Source organism: Homo sapiens, chromosome 1 (genome assembly GCF_000001405.40).
Source record: "Homo sapiens chromosome 1, GRCh38.p14 Primary Assembly".
Classification (NCBI taxonomy): domain Eukaryota; kingdom Metazoa; phylum Chordata; class Mammalia; order Primates; family Hominidae; genus Homo; species Homo sapiens.
The window spans coordinates 74,543,167-74,563,324 of record NC_000001.11 but is presented as its reverse complement, the minus strand read 5'-3'; the positions used below and the strand labels follow the sequence as shown (position 1 = coordinate 74,563,324).

Sequence of the window (20,158 nt, the reverse complement as noted above, 5' to 3'; positions counted from 1 at the left end):
TTTTTTTTCTGTTTGTTTTTTTTTAGAACAGCTAATTTAGTTCTTGCTTTGCAAACATGGAAATACAAGTTTTCAAATGCAGTATAAGGTGAAACATTTTGGTTGTCTGGATCTTAGAGGTCACTGAAATTGGTCATTGACCTTTTATAATCCCCACTGAGACTTTCAAGGTCAGTTAGAGAGAGACAGTGGTTATTTTGCACACATACATACACACACCCGTGCATGCACACATACACACCTGTGTCATTAACTTAAAGAAAAGAAAATCTCTGAGAATGAATGGAAACTCTTCCCACTGAACTAATCATAATGTTAATGGCTCCCTACTTAGCACTGAACTCTCCAGTAAAATTCAACAAATTACAAACCTATCTAAGCATACACAAATTGGCTTAACAAACTCAAATCTAAATTCCTGCATATTAACGGTATTGGTTGTACATTAGAATTTTCCTGAAGAGATTTTTTTTAAATCTCTGGGGGTAGAAGTTGGGCATAAGAACAATAAAAAAAAAATCTTCCCAGGTGATTGATACGTGCAGCTAAACTTTCCCACCACTGACCTCAAGTTTGAATAGCTACTGTGATTAAAAAGTAGACCTAAATGTTATTTCACAAGCCAATGTAAATCAGTATAACACATCTTGACCCATTATGCTTTTACTCTTTTACTCTTTACTTTTCCTCTTTTTCTCCTTTCCTCTTTAAACCTCAGAATGCCATGAGGAAGGCACTATTAGCCCATTTTATAGATGATAAAATTGAAGCACAGAAAAGTGAAGTGACATATTCAAGACACAGGGCAAGGAAGTATCACAGCTGATATTCAGATCAGGCAAAGTGGCTCCATCTGGAACAGGAGTTCTCAAAGTTTGGTCTGTGTAAGACTGAAGGGCTTAGTAGGATAGAATTTTCTGGGCCTTATCCCTAGAATTTCTGATTCAATAGGGCTGCAAGCCACCTGTAATTCTGTATTTCTAACAAGTTTCCACGTGATGTTGATGTCGCTACAACAGGGACCAGATTTTGAGAACCTAGAATTCAAATTGTGTTGGTAATATGGATGTAAGCTAGAGTTTGAGAATGACTAGTCAGTGGTTCTCAGCCTAGGCTACACATGGAGTCCTGTGGGAAGCTTTAAAAATCCTGATCCTCATTCACCCCAGACAATTTGAATCTCTGGGGTAAGACCAGGACATCAATACTTTTTAAAGCAATCTGTGCAGCCCTAATAAAGAACCACTGCTTTAAAGTACACTGTATTAGCCACAACATTCTATCCCGCCCTCCACACCGCTGAAATTCATCTCTAATACATAATACTGCTACAATTACAATGTTTCCAATGCACAGTACTACTACAATTACAAGAGTCATGGTGGGATCATTGTTCTGTCATCCAAGACACAGTATTTGAGTTACACACTATTACTCTGAAAGATGCCAATAAATATCCTTCCATTCACCGCTGAGGCCTCTTCTGGAGTAGAATGTTTCTCCCATAATGGTTAGATTCTATTGGTTTTCAGATTTTCATCACCTTTTGCAAACCATAAGATCTGTGAAGCTGAGTCCTGGTGGATGCGGGGCTGATGTTGCCTCTGGACAGCCACTGCGTGTTACCTGCTGTGTCTAAGTAGAGAGCCCATATTCGTGGCAATCCCTAGCTCATGTGACCCCTGACGCTTAATGTAAGATGGTTGTGCACCCCAATCCACCCAAGTCAAGGGGACTTCTCTAAACTGAGCGCCTCTAACCTCTGTGCTTGTCCAGTCCACCCCTGAAAAACATCTGCCTCAGCTGATCCTAAGGAGGTTGGGAAGGGTCAAATCACAGTGTGTATTTATCTTGTCTCCCAAAATTCATCTCCAAGAGAAATCAGGGTATAAGAAACAAGAATGGTTTTGAGAAAAATAAGTTAGACAAGAGTAGCCCGAGGAGAAGAGTTGGAAAGAAACCACGGCAGTCTCATGGATTATACCTGTTGATATGTAATAGTGGCTTCCATTTACAGGTTATTATCACACATACCTTGCATTATTCTCATGAAGTAGAATCTAGTGGCCAAGGAAAGAAGATAGGGCAGGTATTTTAGTTCCTCACAGGTGAGGCAAAAAAGCTCTGAGATTTTTTCCTACCCTTTTGTTCTCAAACGTTGCATTCTATGTAATTTTTTCAGAGCAATCTGCCAATTTGTTTTTTTATTTATCTGTTTCTAATTTTCTGTTTAATGCATCCACTGAGCTTGTGCTTTCAACAATTTTATTTTTTGTATTTTTCCTTTTTTTCTCTCTCTTTTTTTTTTTTTTTTTTTTTTTTTTTTAAGATAGAGTCCCACGCTGTTGCCCAGGCTGGAGTGCAGTGGCACAACCTCAGCTCACTGCAACCTCCGATTCCTGGGTTCTAGCGATTCTCTTGCCTCAGCCTCCGGAGCAGCTGGGATTACAGGTGTCAGCCACCACGCCTGGTTAATTTTTTTATATTTTTAATAGAGATAGGGTTTCGCCATGTTGCCAAGGCTGGTCTCAAACTCCTGACCTCAGGTGATCCGCCTGCCTCAGCCTCCCAAAATGCTGGGATTACAGGTGTGAGCCACCATGCCTGGTCTATTTTTTTGTTTCTTTCTTAAGGTTTTATGCAGTCACTAATCCAAATCTACCTGATCATTTTTGATGGTCACAGGCTGCTTGTTACGTTTTCATACTTCATGTCATTTCATTTAAAAAATGTCTTTAAATATTTTACACTTAGCTATTTTCTGTTCTGAAATGGATTCTTCCACTATCTGGAATTCTTAGTGATCTGTTTCTGCAGTTTGTTATTTCCACTGACTTTTATTCATGATGGCTTGTTTCTTAATTTTCATGTGTATTCAGTTAATCTTAATTTGTGAATAATTTTTTGGAGTCCAGTTTAATGTGCCAGTCTTTAATAAATCTTCTTCTTCTTGTCTGAAGGCTTAATCTCCAACTTTAGTACTAATATTTCATTGTCCTCAGGGAAACCTTGATTTTCCTTTGTGCTTACCAAGATCACTGCTGGAAGCTCACTTTTTTAAGAATGAGTTTCTTTATTTCCTGCAAGTTCAGCAATAAAAAAAAAATGTTTTATGTGGGCTCTACTAGTGTTATAATGGAAAGGCCCTTCAAAGTATAGAGTCCCTATATTATAAAAGGCAGACTTTTGACACAATCTTTAAAATAACTGTATCATTTAATTGAAAAGTAAGAGAATACATATATGTTTTCCAAATATTCATAGGTACCAATATATAAATAGTTATGAGGTCCCAAGAATAAGGTTTGAATTTGATTATAAAGATACTAGCAATTGAGACAGTTTTTTTCACAACCGAAGCTTTTTACATGATGTTTTAACAGAATTGTCTTTAAATGGTTGTGAAGAGATTTTAAAATTGCAATGCTCTTGTTATTGGCATTTAACATTGTAATATTCTTTTTAGTGGCTTTCAAAATTGCAATGCTCTTGTTAGTAGTATTTCTTCTCTTATTTCGACTCCAAGGCAGGGTTCATATATGGGTCAAGGAAACAGCTAAATTGTATGAAAGTTTAGAGAAGCAAAGGACTTAAGTATTTTGAGAATCCTATTTTTTTATTTTTATTTTTTTACTCTTTTGTAACTTGTCTGCTGTAGCTGGTAAAATAAGATGGACTCAGAGCCTCTACTTAGCAGTAAGCAATAGGACCCTTTACTAGGGGAAGTGGGTTGTCTTAGTCTGTTTATGCTGCTATAACAAAACATTCTCACACATTGCTTAATGACAGGGATACATTCTGAGAAACATGTCAAGCAATTTTGTTATGTGATCATCGAAGTGTACTAACACAAACTTAAACCTTATAGCCTGGGCTAGATATATGGTGTAGCCTATTGCTCCTAGGCTACAAACCTGGGCAGCATGTTACTGTACTGAATACTGTAGTCAATTGTAACACAATGATAAGTGTTTGTGTATCTAAACCTAGCAAAGATACAGTAAAAATATGGCATGAAAGATTTTAAAAACTGGCATATGTGTATAGGGCACTTACCATGAATAGAGCTTTTAAGACTGGAAGTTGCTTCGGGTGAGTCAGTCAGAGAGCCAATGTGAAGACCTAGAACATTACTATATCCTACTGCAAACTTTAGACTACACTAAATTTATTTTAAAAACTTTTTCTTCAATAAATTAACATTACCTTACTATAATTTTTTACTTTATAAAATTTTAATTTGTTATTGACTCTTGTAATAACACTTTGCTTAAAACATAAACACATTGTATACAGTACACAAATATTTTATTTCTTTATATACTTATTCTATAAGCTTTCTTCATTTTAAAAATTTTCTATTTTTTAAACATTTTCATTAAAAACTAAGACACAAACACACACATTAGCCTAGGTCTGTGCAGAGTCAAGACCATTACACATTACTAGGCAATAGAAATTTTTCAGCTCCATTATAATCTGATGGGATCACCATCCTATATGCAGTTAGTCTTTGACCAAAACATTGCTATGAAGCACATGACTGTATCTGAGATTTGGTCATGTATAAACAACAGGGATTTTTTTTTTTTCACAGTTCTTGAGGCTGGGGAGTCCAAGATCAAATTGCTGGCAGATGCCGTGTCAGGTGAGGGCTCATTTCTCATAGGTGGCACCATCTTAGTGTCCTCACGTGGCAGAAGGGACAGAAGGGAGAAGGAAACTCTCTTTTTTTATTCTTTTTAAAAATTATTATTATACTTTAAGTTCTGGGTTACATGTGCAGAACATGCAGTTATGTTACATAGGTATACACACGTCATGGTGGTTTGCTGCACCCATCAACCTGTCACCCACATTAGGTATTTCTGCTAATGTTATCCCTCCCCTTGCCCCCAACCCCCCACAGGTCCTGGTATGTGATGATCCCCTCCCTGTGTCCATGTTTTCTCATTGTTCAACTCCCACTGATGAGTGAGAACATGCAGTGTTTCATTTTCTGATCTTGTGATAGTTTGCTGAGAATGATGGTTTCCAGCATCATCCATGTCCCTGCAAAGGACATAAACTCATCGTTTTTTATGACTGCATAGTATTCCATGGTGTATATGTGCCACATTTTCTCAATCCAGTCTATCATTGATGGATATTTGGGTTAGTTCCAAGTCTTTGCTATTGAGAATAGTGCCGCAATAAACGTACATGTGCATGTGTCTTTATTGTACAATGATTTACAATCCTTTGGGTATATGCCCAGTAATGGGATTGCTGGGTCAAATGGTATTTCTAGTTCTAGATCCTTGAGGAATTGCCACACTGTCTTCGAGGCAATGATTGAAGTAATTTACCCTCCCACCAACAGTGTAAAAGGGTTTCTATTTTTCCACAACCTCTCCAGCATCTGTTGTTTCCTGACTTTTTAATAATTGCCATTCTAACTGGTGTGAGATGGTATCTCATTGTGGTTTTGATTTGCATTTCTCTAATGATCAGTGATGATGAGCATTGTTTCATATGTCTGCTTTGCTGCATAAATATCTTCTTTTGAGAAGGGTCTGTTCATACCCTTTGCCCATTTTTTGATGGGATTGTTTGCTTTTTTCTTGTAAATTTGTTTAAGTTCTTTGTAGATTCTGGATATTAGCCCTTTGTCAGATGGATTAATTGCAAAATTTTTCTCCCATTCTGTAGGTTGCCTGTTCACTCTGATGAGAGTTTCTTTTGCTGTGCAGAAGCTCTTTAGTTTAATTAGATCCCATTTGTCAATTTTGGATTTTGTTGCCATTGCTTTTGGTGTTTTAGACATGAAGTCTTTGCCCATGCCTATGTCCTGAATGGTATTGCCTAGGTTTTCTTCTAGGATTTTTATGGTCCTAGGTCTTACATTTAAGTGTTTGATCCATCTTGAGTTGATTTTTGTATAAGGTGTAAGGAAGGGGTCCAGTTTCAGTTTTCTGCATATGGGTAGCCAATTTTCCCAATACCATTTATTAAATAGGGAATCCTTTCCCCATTGCTTGTTTTTGTCAGGTTTGTCAAAGATCAGATGGTGGTAGATGTGTAGTGTTATTTCTGAGGCCTCCGTTCTGTTCCATTGGTCTATATATCTGTTTTGGTACCAGTACCATGGTGTTTTGGTTACTGTAGCCTTGTAGTAAAGTTTGAAGTCAGGTAGCATGATGCCTCCAGCTTTATTCTTCTTGCCCAGGATTGTCTTGGCTATGCGGGCTCTTTTTTGGTTCCATATGAACTTTAAAGTAGTTTTTTTTTTTCCAACTCTGTGTAGAGTCATTGGTAGCTTGATGGGGATAGCATTGAATCTATAAATTACCTTGGGCAGTATGGCTATTTTCACGATACTGATTCTTCCTATCCATGAGCATGGAATGTTCTTCCATTTGTTTGTGTCTTCTTTTATTTCGTTGATCAGTGGTTTGTAGTTCTCCTTGAAGAGGTCCTTCACATCCCTTGTAAGTTAGATTCCTAGGTATTTTATTCTCTTAGTAGCAGTTGTGAATGGGAGTTCACTCATGATTTGGCTCTTTGTTTGTCTGTTATTAGTGTATAGGAATGCTTGTGATTTTTGCACATTGATTTTGTATCCTGAGACTTTGCTGAAGTTGCTTATCAGCTTAAGGAGATTTTGGGCTGAGACGATGGGGTTTTCTAAATATACGATCATGTCATCAGCAAACAGAGACAACTTCACTTCCTCTCTTCCTATTTGAGTATCTATTATTGCTTTCTCTTGCCTGATTGCCCTGGCCAGAACCTCCGATACTATGTTTAATAGGAGTGGTGAGAGAGGGCATCCTTGTCTTGTGCTGGTTTTCAAAGGGAATGCGTCCAGTTTTTGCCCATTCAGTATGATATTGGCTGTGGGTTTGTCATAAATAGCTCTTATTATGTTGAGATATGTTCCATTGATACCTACTTTATTGAGACTTTTTAGCATGAAACGGTATTGAATTTTGTCGAAGGCCTTTTCTACATCTATTGAGATAATTATGTGGTTTTGGTTCTGTTTATATGATGGATTATGTTTATTGATTTGTGTATGTTGAACCAGCCTTGCATCCCAGGGATGAAGCCAATTTGATCGTGGTGGATAAGCTTTTTGATGTGCTGCTGGATTCGGTTTGCCAGTATTTTATTGAGGATTTTTCACATTGATGTTTATCAGGGATATTAGCCTAAAATTCTCTTTATTTGTTGTGTCTCTGCCAGGCTTTAGTATCAGGATGATGCTGGCCTCATAAAATGAGTTAGGGAGTATTCCCTCTTTTTCTATTGATCAGAATGGTTTCAGAAGGAATGGTACCAGCTCCTCTTTGGACCTCTGGTAGAATTTGTCTGTGAATCCATCTGGTACTGGACTTTTTTTGGTTGGTAGGCTATTAACTATTGCCTCAATTTCAGAACCTGTTATTGGTCTATTCAGAGATTCAAATTCTTCCTGGTTTAGTCTTGGGAGGGTATGTGTGTCCAGGAATTTGTCCATTTCTATTTCTGTGGGATCAGTGGTGATATCCCATTTATCATGTTTTTATTGCATCTATTTGATTCTTCTCTCTTTTATTCTTTATTAGTCTTCCTGGTGGTCTATCTATTTTGTTGATCTTTTCAAAAAACCAGCTGCTGAATTCATTGATTTTTTGAAGGTTTTTTTATGACTCTATCTCCTTCAGTTCTGCTCTGATCTTAGTTATTTCTTGTCTTCTGCTAGCTTTTGAATTTGTTTGCTCTTACTTCTATAGTTCTTTTAATTGTGATGTTAGGGTGTGGATTTTAAATCTCTCCTGCTTTCTCTTGTGGGCATTTAGTGCTATAAATTTCCCTCTACACACTGCTTTAAATGTATCCCAGAGATTCTGGTACGTTTTGTCTTTATTCTCATTGGTTTCAAAGAACATCTTTATTTCTGCCTTCATTTTGTTATGTACCCAGCGGTCATTCAGGAGCAGGTTGTTCAGTTTCCATGTAGCTGTGTGGTTTTGAGTGAGATTCTTAATCCTGAGTTCTAATTTCATTGCACTGTGGTCTGAGAGACAGTTTGTTGTGATTTCTGTTCTTTTACATTTGCTGAGGAGTGCTTTACTTCCAACTATGTGGTCAATTTTAGAATAAGTGTGATGTGGTGCTGAAAAGAATGTATATTCTGTTGATTTGGGGTGGAGAGTTCTGTAGATGGCTATTAGGTCCGCTTGGTGCAGAGCTCTGTTCAAGTCCTGTATATCCTTGTTAATTTTCTGTCTCGTTGATCTGTCTGATACTGACAGTGGGGTGTTAAAGTCTCCCACTAGTATTGTGTGGGAGTCTAAGTCTCTTTGTAGGTCTCTAAGAACTTGCTTATGAATCTGGGTGCTCCTGTAGTGGATGCATATATGTTTAAAAGAGTTAGCTCTTCTTGTTGAATTGATCCCTTTACCATTATGTAATGGCCTTTGTCTCTTTTGATCTTTGTTGGTTTAAAATCTGTTCTACCAGAGACCAGGATTGCAACCCCTGCTTTTTTTTTGTTTTCCATTTGCTTGACAGATCTTCCTCCATCCCTTTATTTTGAGCCTATGTGTGTCTTTGCACATGAAATGGGTCTCCTGAATACAGCACACCGATGGGTCTTGACTCTTTATCCAATTTGCCAGTCTGTGTCTTTAAATTGGGGCATTTAGCCCATTTACATTTAAGGGTAATATTGTTATGTGTGAATTTGATCCGTCATTATGATGCTAGCTGGTTATTTCACCCGTTAATTGATGCAGCTTCTTCATAACATCAATGATCTTTACAATTTGGCATGTATTTGCAGTGGCTGGTACTGGTTGTTCCTATCCATGTTTACTGCTTCCTTCAGGAGCTCTTGTAAGGCAGGCCGGTGGTGACAAAATCTCTCAGCATTTGCTTGTCTGTAAAGGATTTTATTTCTCCTTGACTTATGAAACTTAGTTTGGCTGGATATGAAATTCTGGGTTGAAAATTCTTCTCTTTAAGAATGTTGAATATCGGCCCCCACTCTCTTCTTGCTTGTAGGGTTTCTGCAGAGACATCTGCTGTTAATATGATGGGCTTCCCTTTGTGGATAACCCGACCTTTCTCTCTGGCTGCCCTTAACATTTTTTCTTTCATTCCAACCTTGGTGAATCTGACAACTATGTGTCTTGGGGTTGCTCTTCTCAAGGAGTATCTTTGTGGTGTTCTCTGTATTTCCTGAATTTGAATGTTGTCCTGCCTTGCTAGATTGGGGAAGTTCTCCTGGATAATGTCCTGAAGAGTGTTTTCTAACTTGGTTCTGTTCTCCCCATTACTTCTCTGAAGCTTCTTTTAAAAGGGCATTAATCACGTCATCTTCCAAGGTGCCCAGTTCTTAATACCATCAACTTAGGGGTTAGGTTGCAGCCTATGAATTTTGGAGGGACACATACATTTAAACCATAGCCTGCACCACTGTCAATTTCCTGGTTTTGGAACTGTGCTATACTAACACAAAATATTCCATCTGGGGAAAGTGAGTGATGAATATCAACACCTCTCTGTACAGTATCTTGCAAATTCCTGTGAATTATTATATAAAATAAAAAATGTTTTCTAAAAAACCAAAGTGGGGGCCTAGCACAGTGGTGGTAATCCTAGCTATTTGGGAGGCTGAGGTAGGAAGATCCCTTAAGTCCAGGAGTTCAAGATTGGCCTACGCCAGATAGTGAGATCCCAGTCTCAAAAATGAAAAATAAATAATAATGTAAAAATTTTTAAAAAATCAAAGTAGAGAGTAGAGTAAGGCCTAGAGGAAGGGAGACATGAAGGAGAATGTTGTACCTGTCTCTGACTAGACCTGAAAAGAATGGAGAAACAGGAGTCTTTGTGACACATACAGTTTGCTGTAGTTCTCCAAAGGCATTGTGGGCCAAAGCTCTAATTAGTGATAACAAACATTCATTTGCCTGTTGTGTACTCTGTTATGAAATCCCTGAGTGACCTGGCAGGGTGACATGCAGCTATATAAGGGTACAGAAAACCAATCATCTTCTCCTTGGAGACATGACTAATAGCCCCTTTTAAATGAATAGTGTTATTTGGATAGTTATTAATGCCATGCTTTACAAACATACACCATAAATTAGCACCACAGGAAAAATGAACTCTATGGAATACATAAAAATAAGTGAAAACATGACTGTTAAGGCAGATTATTTAAAATTATGAGGGGATGAAAGAGGATCTTTTAACCAGAGTAAGAACATTTGTAAACACTTATAGACACTCCTATTTGTTGTGCAATGTGGTTCTGATTAATTCCAAAGAAGGCTTGTGTTATGAATAATCATTTTTGATACAGCAGTAACATTTGATGGAAAAATTGCAAACAGGGGATATCTTTCTGTGATTCTTGAGCTGTATTATATAAATCAATTAACAGCTTAATGGACAGGGTGGGGAAAGGAACATACTAATTTAGCTTAGGCAAGCAACTTGAACAGTTTCCACTACTCACTATTTTACATTATGCAGAATTTCCATTCGTATTAATAACTTATTACTTCTATTAAACATGCATTTTCCCTAAAGTTTAATGTTTCTTCAGTGGACACCAATTAACTGAGACAGTCTTTTCTTAGCTAGCAATTATTTTAATTACTAAAATTTTTAAAAATGTGCTTGCTTTGCTAGATTTGACCAGTTGAACTTGGCCATAGAATGCATTGACTTAGTATAACAAGAGGTGAAAGGTTTTTTGTGAATAAGTGAATGCTAAAAAAACCTTTTAGACAGTTGGGTTCCACCGAGCATAACAATCCTGTGTTGCTATTACTTTGCATTTTAGTATTTATCGATACCTTTAACGTGGTACCTTTCCAATCCAGCAGTTTTTTGTTTGTTTTGTTTTTTGGTTTTTGTTTTTTTTTTTTTTTTTTGAGACAGAGTCTCACTCGGTCGCCTAGGCTGGAGTGCAGGGGCAGCAAGATCTCGGGTCACTGCAACCTTCGCCTCCCAGGTTCAAACGATTCCCCTGCCTAGGCCTCCCAAGTAGCTGGGATTACAGGCACAAGCCACTAGGCCTGGCTCATTTTTTTGTATTTTTAGTAGCGATGGGATTTCACCATGTTGGCCAGGCTGGTTTAGAACTCCTGACCTCAGGCAATCCTCCCACCTCAGCCTCCCAAAGTGCTGGCATTACAGGTGTGAGCCACCGTGCCCAGACTAATCCAGCAGTCTTTCATTCTGTTTTTTATTTAGTTTCCTTGTTCTCTTTGTGCAGAACTATGGCTTGAAGGATCGGCAGGCAATTACTGTAACTAAGGAGAAACTATAAGGTGGTGGGTAGGTGCAGTTTTTCCTATAGAAAAACTTGAGTGTTTGCTTCCTGATTCTTCCTGGACTAGTGGTAAAAAACAATGCATGAGGCCCAGGTTAATGAGTATTGAAGACTTAAAAGTACAAGTAATGACAGATCATTGTACTCATTAGTCCTCTAGGGTGGTGAGGTATGCTTAAAAGGAAGGAACAAGAAGCACCATGAAGACAGAGTTTGTTTGGGGGGTTAGTATCCTCCAGACCACACCAGGAATCCAATTATTTTCAGGCAAATAACAGAAGATCCTGAAAAACAGGTAAAAAGTCCTTGCCACCTTGTGGAGACATGGATCAAGCAAATCAAGAATACTATTAATAATGTGAAGTTTAAATATTAATATTCTAATAAAGTAGGAAAGTGAGTAAGCAGATTAATAGAGTAAGAGCTACAACAAAGAGGGAGAGAGAGGAAACAAATAACTTCATGGAAATAGATAGAGCAAAGGCAGCAAATTCCTAGTAACACCCCCTAATTTTGCTGATGATAGCCGGACTGCAGTGGGGTTGATGAAGCACAGCAGTGCTGAGTACAACATGCCACATGTAAGAGACTGTGAAACAGTAAAAAAGAGACAACAGGAGATGTCACAGGGCCTGAAAGAAACAAGACTAAAAATATAATCTCATCTTAACATCCAACTAAACCCATTCATTCATTTATTGATTCATTCTTACTCTCATTTGAGCATTAATTCACTTATTCCTTCATTCCACAAACCACTCCTTACTAAGGAGGAGCTGATGGTGAAAATTTCTTTCTATACTGTCTATCCTAGTTTGGTCCCACCTGAAAGTAGAGCCTGAGGCCAAAGTTCAGAAACTGCTACTTTTTAAGGCATGCAATCCTATAAAAGTAGGATTGAAAGGAGGAAAGTCAGAGTGAGAAGGGAGAGGAGGGAGAGCACATCTTACAGTGTGTTATTGAGCTAGATGCTGTTTGGGACCCAGGGCAACTGATTGTCAGTCTCAAGGAATTGTCTTCTGAGGCTGTAAACATGACTGTGCCTCAGGACAATGGGGTGCTGTGGAGAAGGGAAAGAATTTATTTCCTGGCTTTGGTCTCCACAAGGCTGGGAAGACCTGGAATACTTCTCCTCAAGGCAACAGGAGAGCTCCAGGGAACAGAGCAAGAGGCAATAGGGACCTGCCTTGCCCTTAGGTGAACATGGTGCGGTTTTGTCCACATGAAGTTAGTTATGGTAATGGTGGGTGGCTTAACGGCCAAGGGCATAGGTGATGCCAAGATCTGAGGTGGGATCTAAAAGATGTCTACTATATATTCCATAAAGATATTAGCAATTGTTTAACTGTATTGCAAATCTAGTTATAATTGTATCCAGATAAGATTGTGCTTTTGTGTTACTTTCATATTCTTTTTGTTGTAGAGCCTCCATTGCAGCATCTTACTTTAGGGCTTATCTTACAAACACTCAAATTTTTTCAAGCCATAATGCTTTCTTAGCATCCAGGAAATAAATAATTAGCCCTCAGTGCTTGGTTGATTCCTCTCTCAGTCATGTTATATCAAGCATGGCCAATTGTTATGGAACATTTATCATGTGCCTGACCCTGTGATAAGTGATTTTCATGCATTATTTCACTTAATCCTCTCTCTGAGGTAAGAATGATTCTCTCCATTTTACAGATGAGGAATCTGAGGTGAGAAAAATGAAGTAACTTGCCCATGTTTGCACAGGTCACACAGTGATGGGGGGAGCCAGACATTCACTCAAGCCCAACTGTAAAGCTCATGCCCTTGACAACTATGCACATGCTTTGCAAGTATGGTTCCAGGACAAGCAGCATCAGCATCTTTTGGGAACTTGTTAGAAATACAATTTCTTGGGCCCCAGTCCAGAGCTTCTGATTCCACAATGCTGGCGGTGGGCCCAGCAACCTGTGTTTTAATGAGCCCTCTACAAATCCTGCTGCAGGCTAAATTTTAAGAACTGCTCTATGCTATTCCACCTTTTATAGTTCCATAACTGTATAGGGCAAACATGTGTCATCTGGCGTTCATTCACTTTTATTCTGATCACCTCAAGGTACCCTCAATATTAACATTAATTCTTATTCCTCAGATGATTTTGAGTTTCAGGAAAGGAAAAAAAATAGTCTTAAAGACAAGCCTGATATTCTTCACTGTGGACTAATTTTTGAAGTGGTGTTAAGCAGACCATGGATTATTATAAGTAAAAAACTGAAGGGCAAACCTACATTCAAATTATTTTTATTGCATATCATGGTCCTGCTTCAATCTTACCCTTCCCTGATTAGTTGAGATAAAAGAAGAGATGGAGGTCAGTGAAATTAGTGCGCTTAAAAACCTTCTTTAAAGATGGTAAAGATAACTTTTTTCTGCGTATGAGCCCATTGGTTAAAAGACAGATACTTGAGATAATATTCTTTTTATCTCACTAATTAAACATAAAGCTAGGCTGGGAGTGCTTTGGAGACATGTCCTCATCAGCAGGGCCTGGCCCCCGTGGCAGTGTTTTAATTCAAGAAGCCTAATTTAATTAGCACCCTGGCACTGGGTCAGCTGCTGTGCCGCCTTGGATCTCTGGCCTGAGGAGAAATGTGCAACCCCTGCTCTTTTTATTTCTAGTTAGCCTCACAAAAGTAGGATGTCCAAGGAGAGAGAGGAACTTTGCTTCTCCATCATGTTTTGCATATGGTGCTAATTGAGCTGACAGTCTTGGACCACAGTCTGTTATTGCTGCAGCTGAGTCTTGAGCTGATACCCAGTGAAGGGATTGCACATGTCAAATGGCTCATCTTTGCCCCTGTGGCTCTTGAAATATGGAAGCAAATTGATCAGGGGGAGCTCTTCAGTCTGCATGCTTGAGTAACTGCAAGCAAAACAAAACTAGGAAAAAATAAGGTATTCAAATCCTACTGGTAATGGCTACACCCTCTCTCCTCAATTTCCCTACCCAGTGTGCTAATGAGGAAAGGAAAATGTGAAACTCCTTGGCTTCCCTAATTGCTGTGCTTTGCCCTTATAACTTTTTTGTTCTTGCTTATCATGGTGAGAGTCTTGTTTCTGTCAATCATTTTTGGTTCTTTCTGCCTAGAAAATAACAATGCATTTTTTTTTGAGCCTTAAGATTATTCCAGCCCCTTCTCTTCCATAATTACAACAGGGAAAATAATGATTATTATTTTTTTGGTTTTACTTTGCAATAATAAGCTGTAGCAATCAGGAAAAGGTTTTTCTGGCTCCTGAAACTTCTCCTGTGATAGTTTCCAAATTTTCCTCAGGACTGTAGAACTGCAGAGTTGTTCATTTTTATCACAATTCTGGATTGTGAGTATGTGCTATTTTTCTATCTTTTCCTCCCTCACAGTGGAGGCTGTATTGTGTAATGAACAAATCATGGACATGAGTGCAAGAAAAAAGTTGTTTGAAACCTGCCTCTACTCTATGCGAGATTGGATTCATTACTTTCCTTCTCTGATTCCCCACTTGAATAATAATAATAATAATAATAATAATAATCCCCTCTTCCCAGGGCTATGCAGAAAATTAGGCCAAATACTATATTTTAAGTAATTTTAAACCATTTTTGCCACATAATAGTGCTCAACAAGTGTATACTCTTTCTATTTTCACTTAGCATCCCCCTTGCTTGGGGAATCCTTTCTGGTTCTTGTATTTGGCTGAAAGGATTTGATTTGTCTTCTAATTTAATTTTAGGATAAACAAGGCATTGCTGTCTAAGGTCTGCTGGATCTTGGCTCAAACTGCCTCAGAGGTGTAGGCTCTCCAACTTGCTGTTTGCAAAGATGAGGTTTTTAGGGACATTGATAGTTATTTTTACAATGGAGAAAAAAATCTTCACTATTTTCATGCTCTCCTTTTATAATATAGTTCTTTGGATGCATGGTCATATAACAATAACACAAACAACAACATATGCTGGTCAGGTCTGGTGGCTTGGGCCTGTAGTCCCAGCACTTTGGGAGGCCAAGGCAGGCAGATCTCTTGAGCCCAGGAATTCAAGACCGGCCTGGGCAACATGGCAAAATCCTGTCTCTACAAAAAATACAAAAATTAGCTGGGTGTGGTGGTGCATGCCTGTAGTCCCAGCTACTAGGGAGGCTGAGGCTGGAGGATTGATTGAGTCCGGGAGGTGGAGGTTGCAGTGAGCTGAGATTGCGCCACTACACTCCAGCCCAGGTGACAGAGCGAGACTCCAACTCAAAAAAAAAAGAAAGAAAATTGCTATGGCGTTTTGGGAACCATAGTACATACTTTACATCATTTGAAACCCTTACAGCAAATCTACAAGATAAATTTTTGTTTGTTTGTTTGTTTGTTTGTTTTTGAGACAGGGTCTCACTCTGTCATCTAGGTTGGAGAGCAGTCATACAATCACAGCCTTGACCTCCCAGGCTCAGGTGATTCTCCTACCTCAGCTTCCTGAGTAGCTGGTACCACAGGTGTGCACGACCACATCCAGCTAATTTTTTTTAATGTAATTTTAGTAGATACAGGGTTTTACCATGTTGCTCTGGCTGGTCTCAAACTCTTGGGCTCAAGTAATCTGCCTGCCTCGGCCTCCTAAAGTACTGAGATTGCCACCACACCGGGCCAAAAAGATACATTTTATTACAATCACCTTACAGATAATAAACTGGAGCTCAGAGTGGTTGAGTGACTTGCCCAAGGTCACACAACTACTATGACAGGTCTGAGTGACTCCAAAGCCACTGCTTATTGTTAAAGAAAGGGAGAACAAATAAATAAAATAGGGAAGGAGGGAGGAAAGGGAAAGGAAAAATAAAAAAAGAGAGAGAGACAGAGAAAGAAACAGAGAGAGAAATCAGACACTTCATTTTAGATGGACTGTCTAGCATTAGCCATTTCTCCCACCACAAGCACCCATTTTTTCTCTTTCCTAGGGAAATGTCAGCTTTGGAAATAATTTAACCCAAATAATCACTCTGTTGGAATAACTCTTTCCTGGTGCTGCTATAATTTGGCTTACAATTACAGTTAATTGAACATCTTCGGAGCGAGCTCAGTGCTGCATGCACGTAGAAAGAAATTTAATGTGCTAAGCATGCAAAAACATAATCTTAGAAGTTCATTTTTTCTGAAAGAAAAAGAAAGCAATTAGTGCGACATTTTTCAGCAAGGAAGAAAAAAACCTCATAAAACCCATGGTCTTGATACAAGCTCTGAGATGATCCCTGGGCCCCATTAAGGGTGCAGTAATGAAAAGGGTTTGTGAGCTACAGGTTGTAATCTGCGAAAAGGTTCTCCTTCTCAGGAATCAAGACACATTAGTCTCATTATTTGCAGATATTTGACAAGACAAGAGCCAGAGGGAAGCAGCAACATCAGGAAATGCAGTGTGAAGAGAAGAGGTGGCTAATTAGAGGAAGCAAAGAAAGAGATCTTGACGAATCTGTTCTAGAAAATCTCTTTCTAAAAGAGGGGCATTTCAGAAGCAAACAATCCTCCCTCTGGATATGACCTGGGAGAGCACCTGGCTGGGGTTACCTAAGCAGGTATGCCTCAATGCAGCCAGCCAGAGTTACCCCAGCACTGTCCACAGCCCTGACTATACACACATTTGGCATTATGTATACTGTGATTCTTTTGGTTAAAACTATCTTTTGAAAAAAACTCTCTAAGGTATTTCTTTCAACTCAACTCATGAAAGGATTAAGCCCCAAAGTATCCCAGGCTAAGTGCTGGTTCATTTCCTAGAGTAGCTAGAGCAAAGGAATAGGGGGAAAGCTATGGAGACAGGTGTTCTTTAATCAGCTTCTTTTTCTCCTTCTCTGTCTTTGCCAGAAGGGTTTATGCCTGAGCAGTCACTTCAGGTTCTTCGGTCCTGCTTATTATAAAGTCCTTTGGGAATCTGATTGGTGGGATAGAGTACCTGCGACTCCAGAATAATTGGGTAGGGAAATGGAAAAAGCTGGAGGCTAAAAGAGGATAAATCTAGTTGGAAGTACCAAGTTGCTTTTAATTTCTGTCTCTGAACCTACACTGGGCTATCCACAAGCTAATCAGAGCATGCTAGGATTTGTGACTTTGCAACCATAAGTCATAAAAAGAGGCTCAAAGGGATTTTAAAGGTGGTGTTCCTGTTCTGATAGAAATTGCCCTCTAGAAACATAATTTCTAACTGGCAAGGGGGAAGTGGAGGAGAGAGGAGCTTGCCACAGATATCTAAGGGAGCAATCAGCACTTCTACTATCCAATTATCCAATTCCATTTATATATGAATCCACATTACTTCAGGAGGAGGAGAAAGCACGTATGCCTAAATGCAGCCAGCCAGAGTCAGGCTCTAAATTCCTTGTTTGCTCTTTAGGCCTGTGGTTATCCTCTTTGAATTTAGAGAAGTGGGTCTCAACTTGGGGCAATTTTGTCCCCCATGGCATATGTAGAAATGTCTGAAGACACTTTTGATTGTCATAACTTGGGAGTGTGTGCATTAGGGTTCTCTGTTAGGAAGAGAACCAATCAGATATAGATATAGATATATGAAATTACGGAGGCTGGGAAGTCCCATGATCGGCTCTCTACAAACGGGAGATCCAGCATAGCCAGTGGTAGAGTTCAAACGCCTGAGAGCTAGAGAACCAATAGTATACATTCCAACCTGAGTCTGAAATCCTGAGAACCAGGAGCACCAAGGAAAGGAGAAGATGGATGCTCCAGCTCAAGCAGTCAGGCAGAGAGCAAATCCTCCCTTCCTGCACCTTTTTGCTCTATTCAGGCCTTCAATAGATAAGATGATGCTACTCACACTGGGAAGGGCTATCTGCCTTTCTCAGTCTACTGGTTCAAATGGTAATCTCTTAAGAAAACACCCAGACACACCCAGAAAGAATGTTTAACCACATATCTGGGCATCCCATGGTCCAGTCAAGTTGACACATAAAATTAACTATCATAGGGGATGTTACTGGCATCTGGCGGGTAGAGACCACAAAGCTGTTAAACATCCTACAATGCATAGGACAGCCCCCCACCCTCTCAACAAATGTCAACAGTGCCAAGGTTGAGGAACCTTGATTTAGAGGATATCCAAGATTCCTTTGCTAACCTTATTTATCTTGCCAAAATCAAAACACACAATTATCCTTCAATTTTTATAGTTTCCTCCCTGTTTTTTCCCATCTGTCTTTCAATGGAAAAACTATTTTGTCTCATAGAACCATTCCTGTCTTCCAACTAGGAACCAGTATGGAGGGCAGATTTCTCATTTCTCGAAGGCAGTAGGCACCTTAGGTATTCTCCCACCACATTGTGCAAAACTCTAGTATAAAAAAATGGCAGGTTTGCATGCATAGGCTGGTTTCACAACTGACCCGATACATCTACGACCTCTTGTTCTGAGAGCAACAGGTTACCTAAGTAGATCATGGAGCACTTGGCATGACATGGAAAGGGGACTAAATTAGTGCTATATTTTTGCAAGCTTCTTGACCTAAAAGTTGCTACTGTTTTTACCAATATGGCTGGAAAAAAAATATACTTAGTGGAAGTCTTGTTGAAATAAAATACACTCATAAATCAATTTTCTATTTCACCAAAGAATCTTTAATCACAGAGGTGAACACTAGAAGTAACATAATGAGAAAAGAAAATGAACAATGTTCTAAGAAATAAACCCATAGCTGTCAAACACAAGTCTACATAATTCAGCCCAGGAAAACATAATTATTATCTGTCCACCACAGACTTAGGCTCCATTTCCAAGTAACGATCTAAATTTTTTTTTAATTTACAAAATTAAAAACAATTCTTCATATACATTCTGTCTTGGTTCTTTTGCATATTATTCCTTAGGCACAAATCCAAAGCCTGCTAATAGTGGGGAATTAAATAGGACAAGTAAAAACAAGCCCAATTTAAGGAGACCTTTGAGAGTAAAATGTTATAGTTGGAAGCCAGCTTGCCGTGGTTGGAATCGTTGCTGTCAGTTCGGGGAAAAAACTCTCCTTAGGTATACGCCGAATGCTGTCAGCTGCTGTCCTCAAAGCTGCTACTATTTCGGCAAGAATGAAAATGCATTGAGCTCATGGGATCGGATACATAGCCTGCATCAGAAAAGAAGTTCAGTTGTTACTTACTAGTCTTTCAGTACATCCCCCAATTTTTTATAACCAGCCTGAACCAGGCAGGTCTTCCAGATCATGTGAACAGACAATCTGGACAACGGTTGCTGGTGAGTAGTTGCAAAGCACAAGCAACATTTACAATGAAAACAGAGAGCTGAGACCAGGCAAATATGAATGACTAATGTCTAATTTGGACCCAAGCTGGCCAGGTGGCATTTTGGGTTTGGAGTAAAGAGGGGTACAGCTCAGGCAGATGGCATGTCAGGGTGGCTAAAAGCACAGGCTTTCACGTCAGGCAAATCTGGGTTTAAGCACGGATTCCACTACTTGCTGACTCTGTGACTTTTGTCAACTTAACCTTTCTATGCCTCGGTGTGTTCATCTGTAAATGGGAGAAACAATAGCACTTATTCATAAGGTTGGCAATGCACCTAAGACAATTAGCACTGTCTGATACCAGTGAATGCTAAACAAAAGATGGCTATAAAAAGGAAGGTAAAGAAAAAGGAAAGAGTCCAGGTGCAGTGGCTCATGCCTGTAATCCCAGCACTTTGGGATGGCCCAGAGAGCGAATCATGAGGTCGGGAGATCGAGACCATCCTGGTCAATATGGTGAAACCCCATCTCTACTAAAATACAAAAAATAGCCGGGTGTGGTGGCATGTGCCTGTAGTCTCAGCTACTCAGGAGGCTGAGGCAGGAGAATCACTTGAACCCG

At 39.2% G+C, this 20,158-nt stretch overlaps 2 protein-coding genes across 2 annotated transcripts in view; both read right to left on the bottom strand.

Moving 5' to 3' along the window:
• The window catches only part of FPGT-TNNI3K (FPGT-TNNI3K readthrough), a 346,187-nt gene continuing 344,925 nt past the window's right edge, over nt 18,897-20,158 (bottom strand). The window contains exon 27 of the mRNA NM_001112808.3: nt 18,897-19,419. Coding sequence (NP_001106279.3) covers nt 19,343-19,419 — 77 coding nt within the window. The 3' untranslated portion in view covers nt 18,897-19,342. The remainder of the gene's footprint in view (nt 19,420-20,158) is intronic.
• TNNI3K (TNNI3 interacting kinase) overlaps nt 18,897-20,158 on the bottom strand; it is a 309,042-nt gene continuing 307,780 nt past the window's right edge. The window contains exon 25 of the mRNA NM_015978.3: nt 18,897-19,419. Coding sequence (NP_057062.1) covers nt 19,343-19,419 — 77 coding nt within the window. The 3' untranslated portion in view covers nt 18,897-19,342. The remainder of the gene's footprint in view (nt 19,420-20,158) is intronic.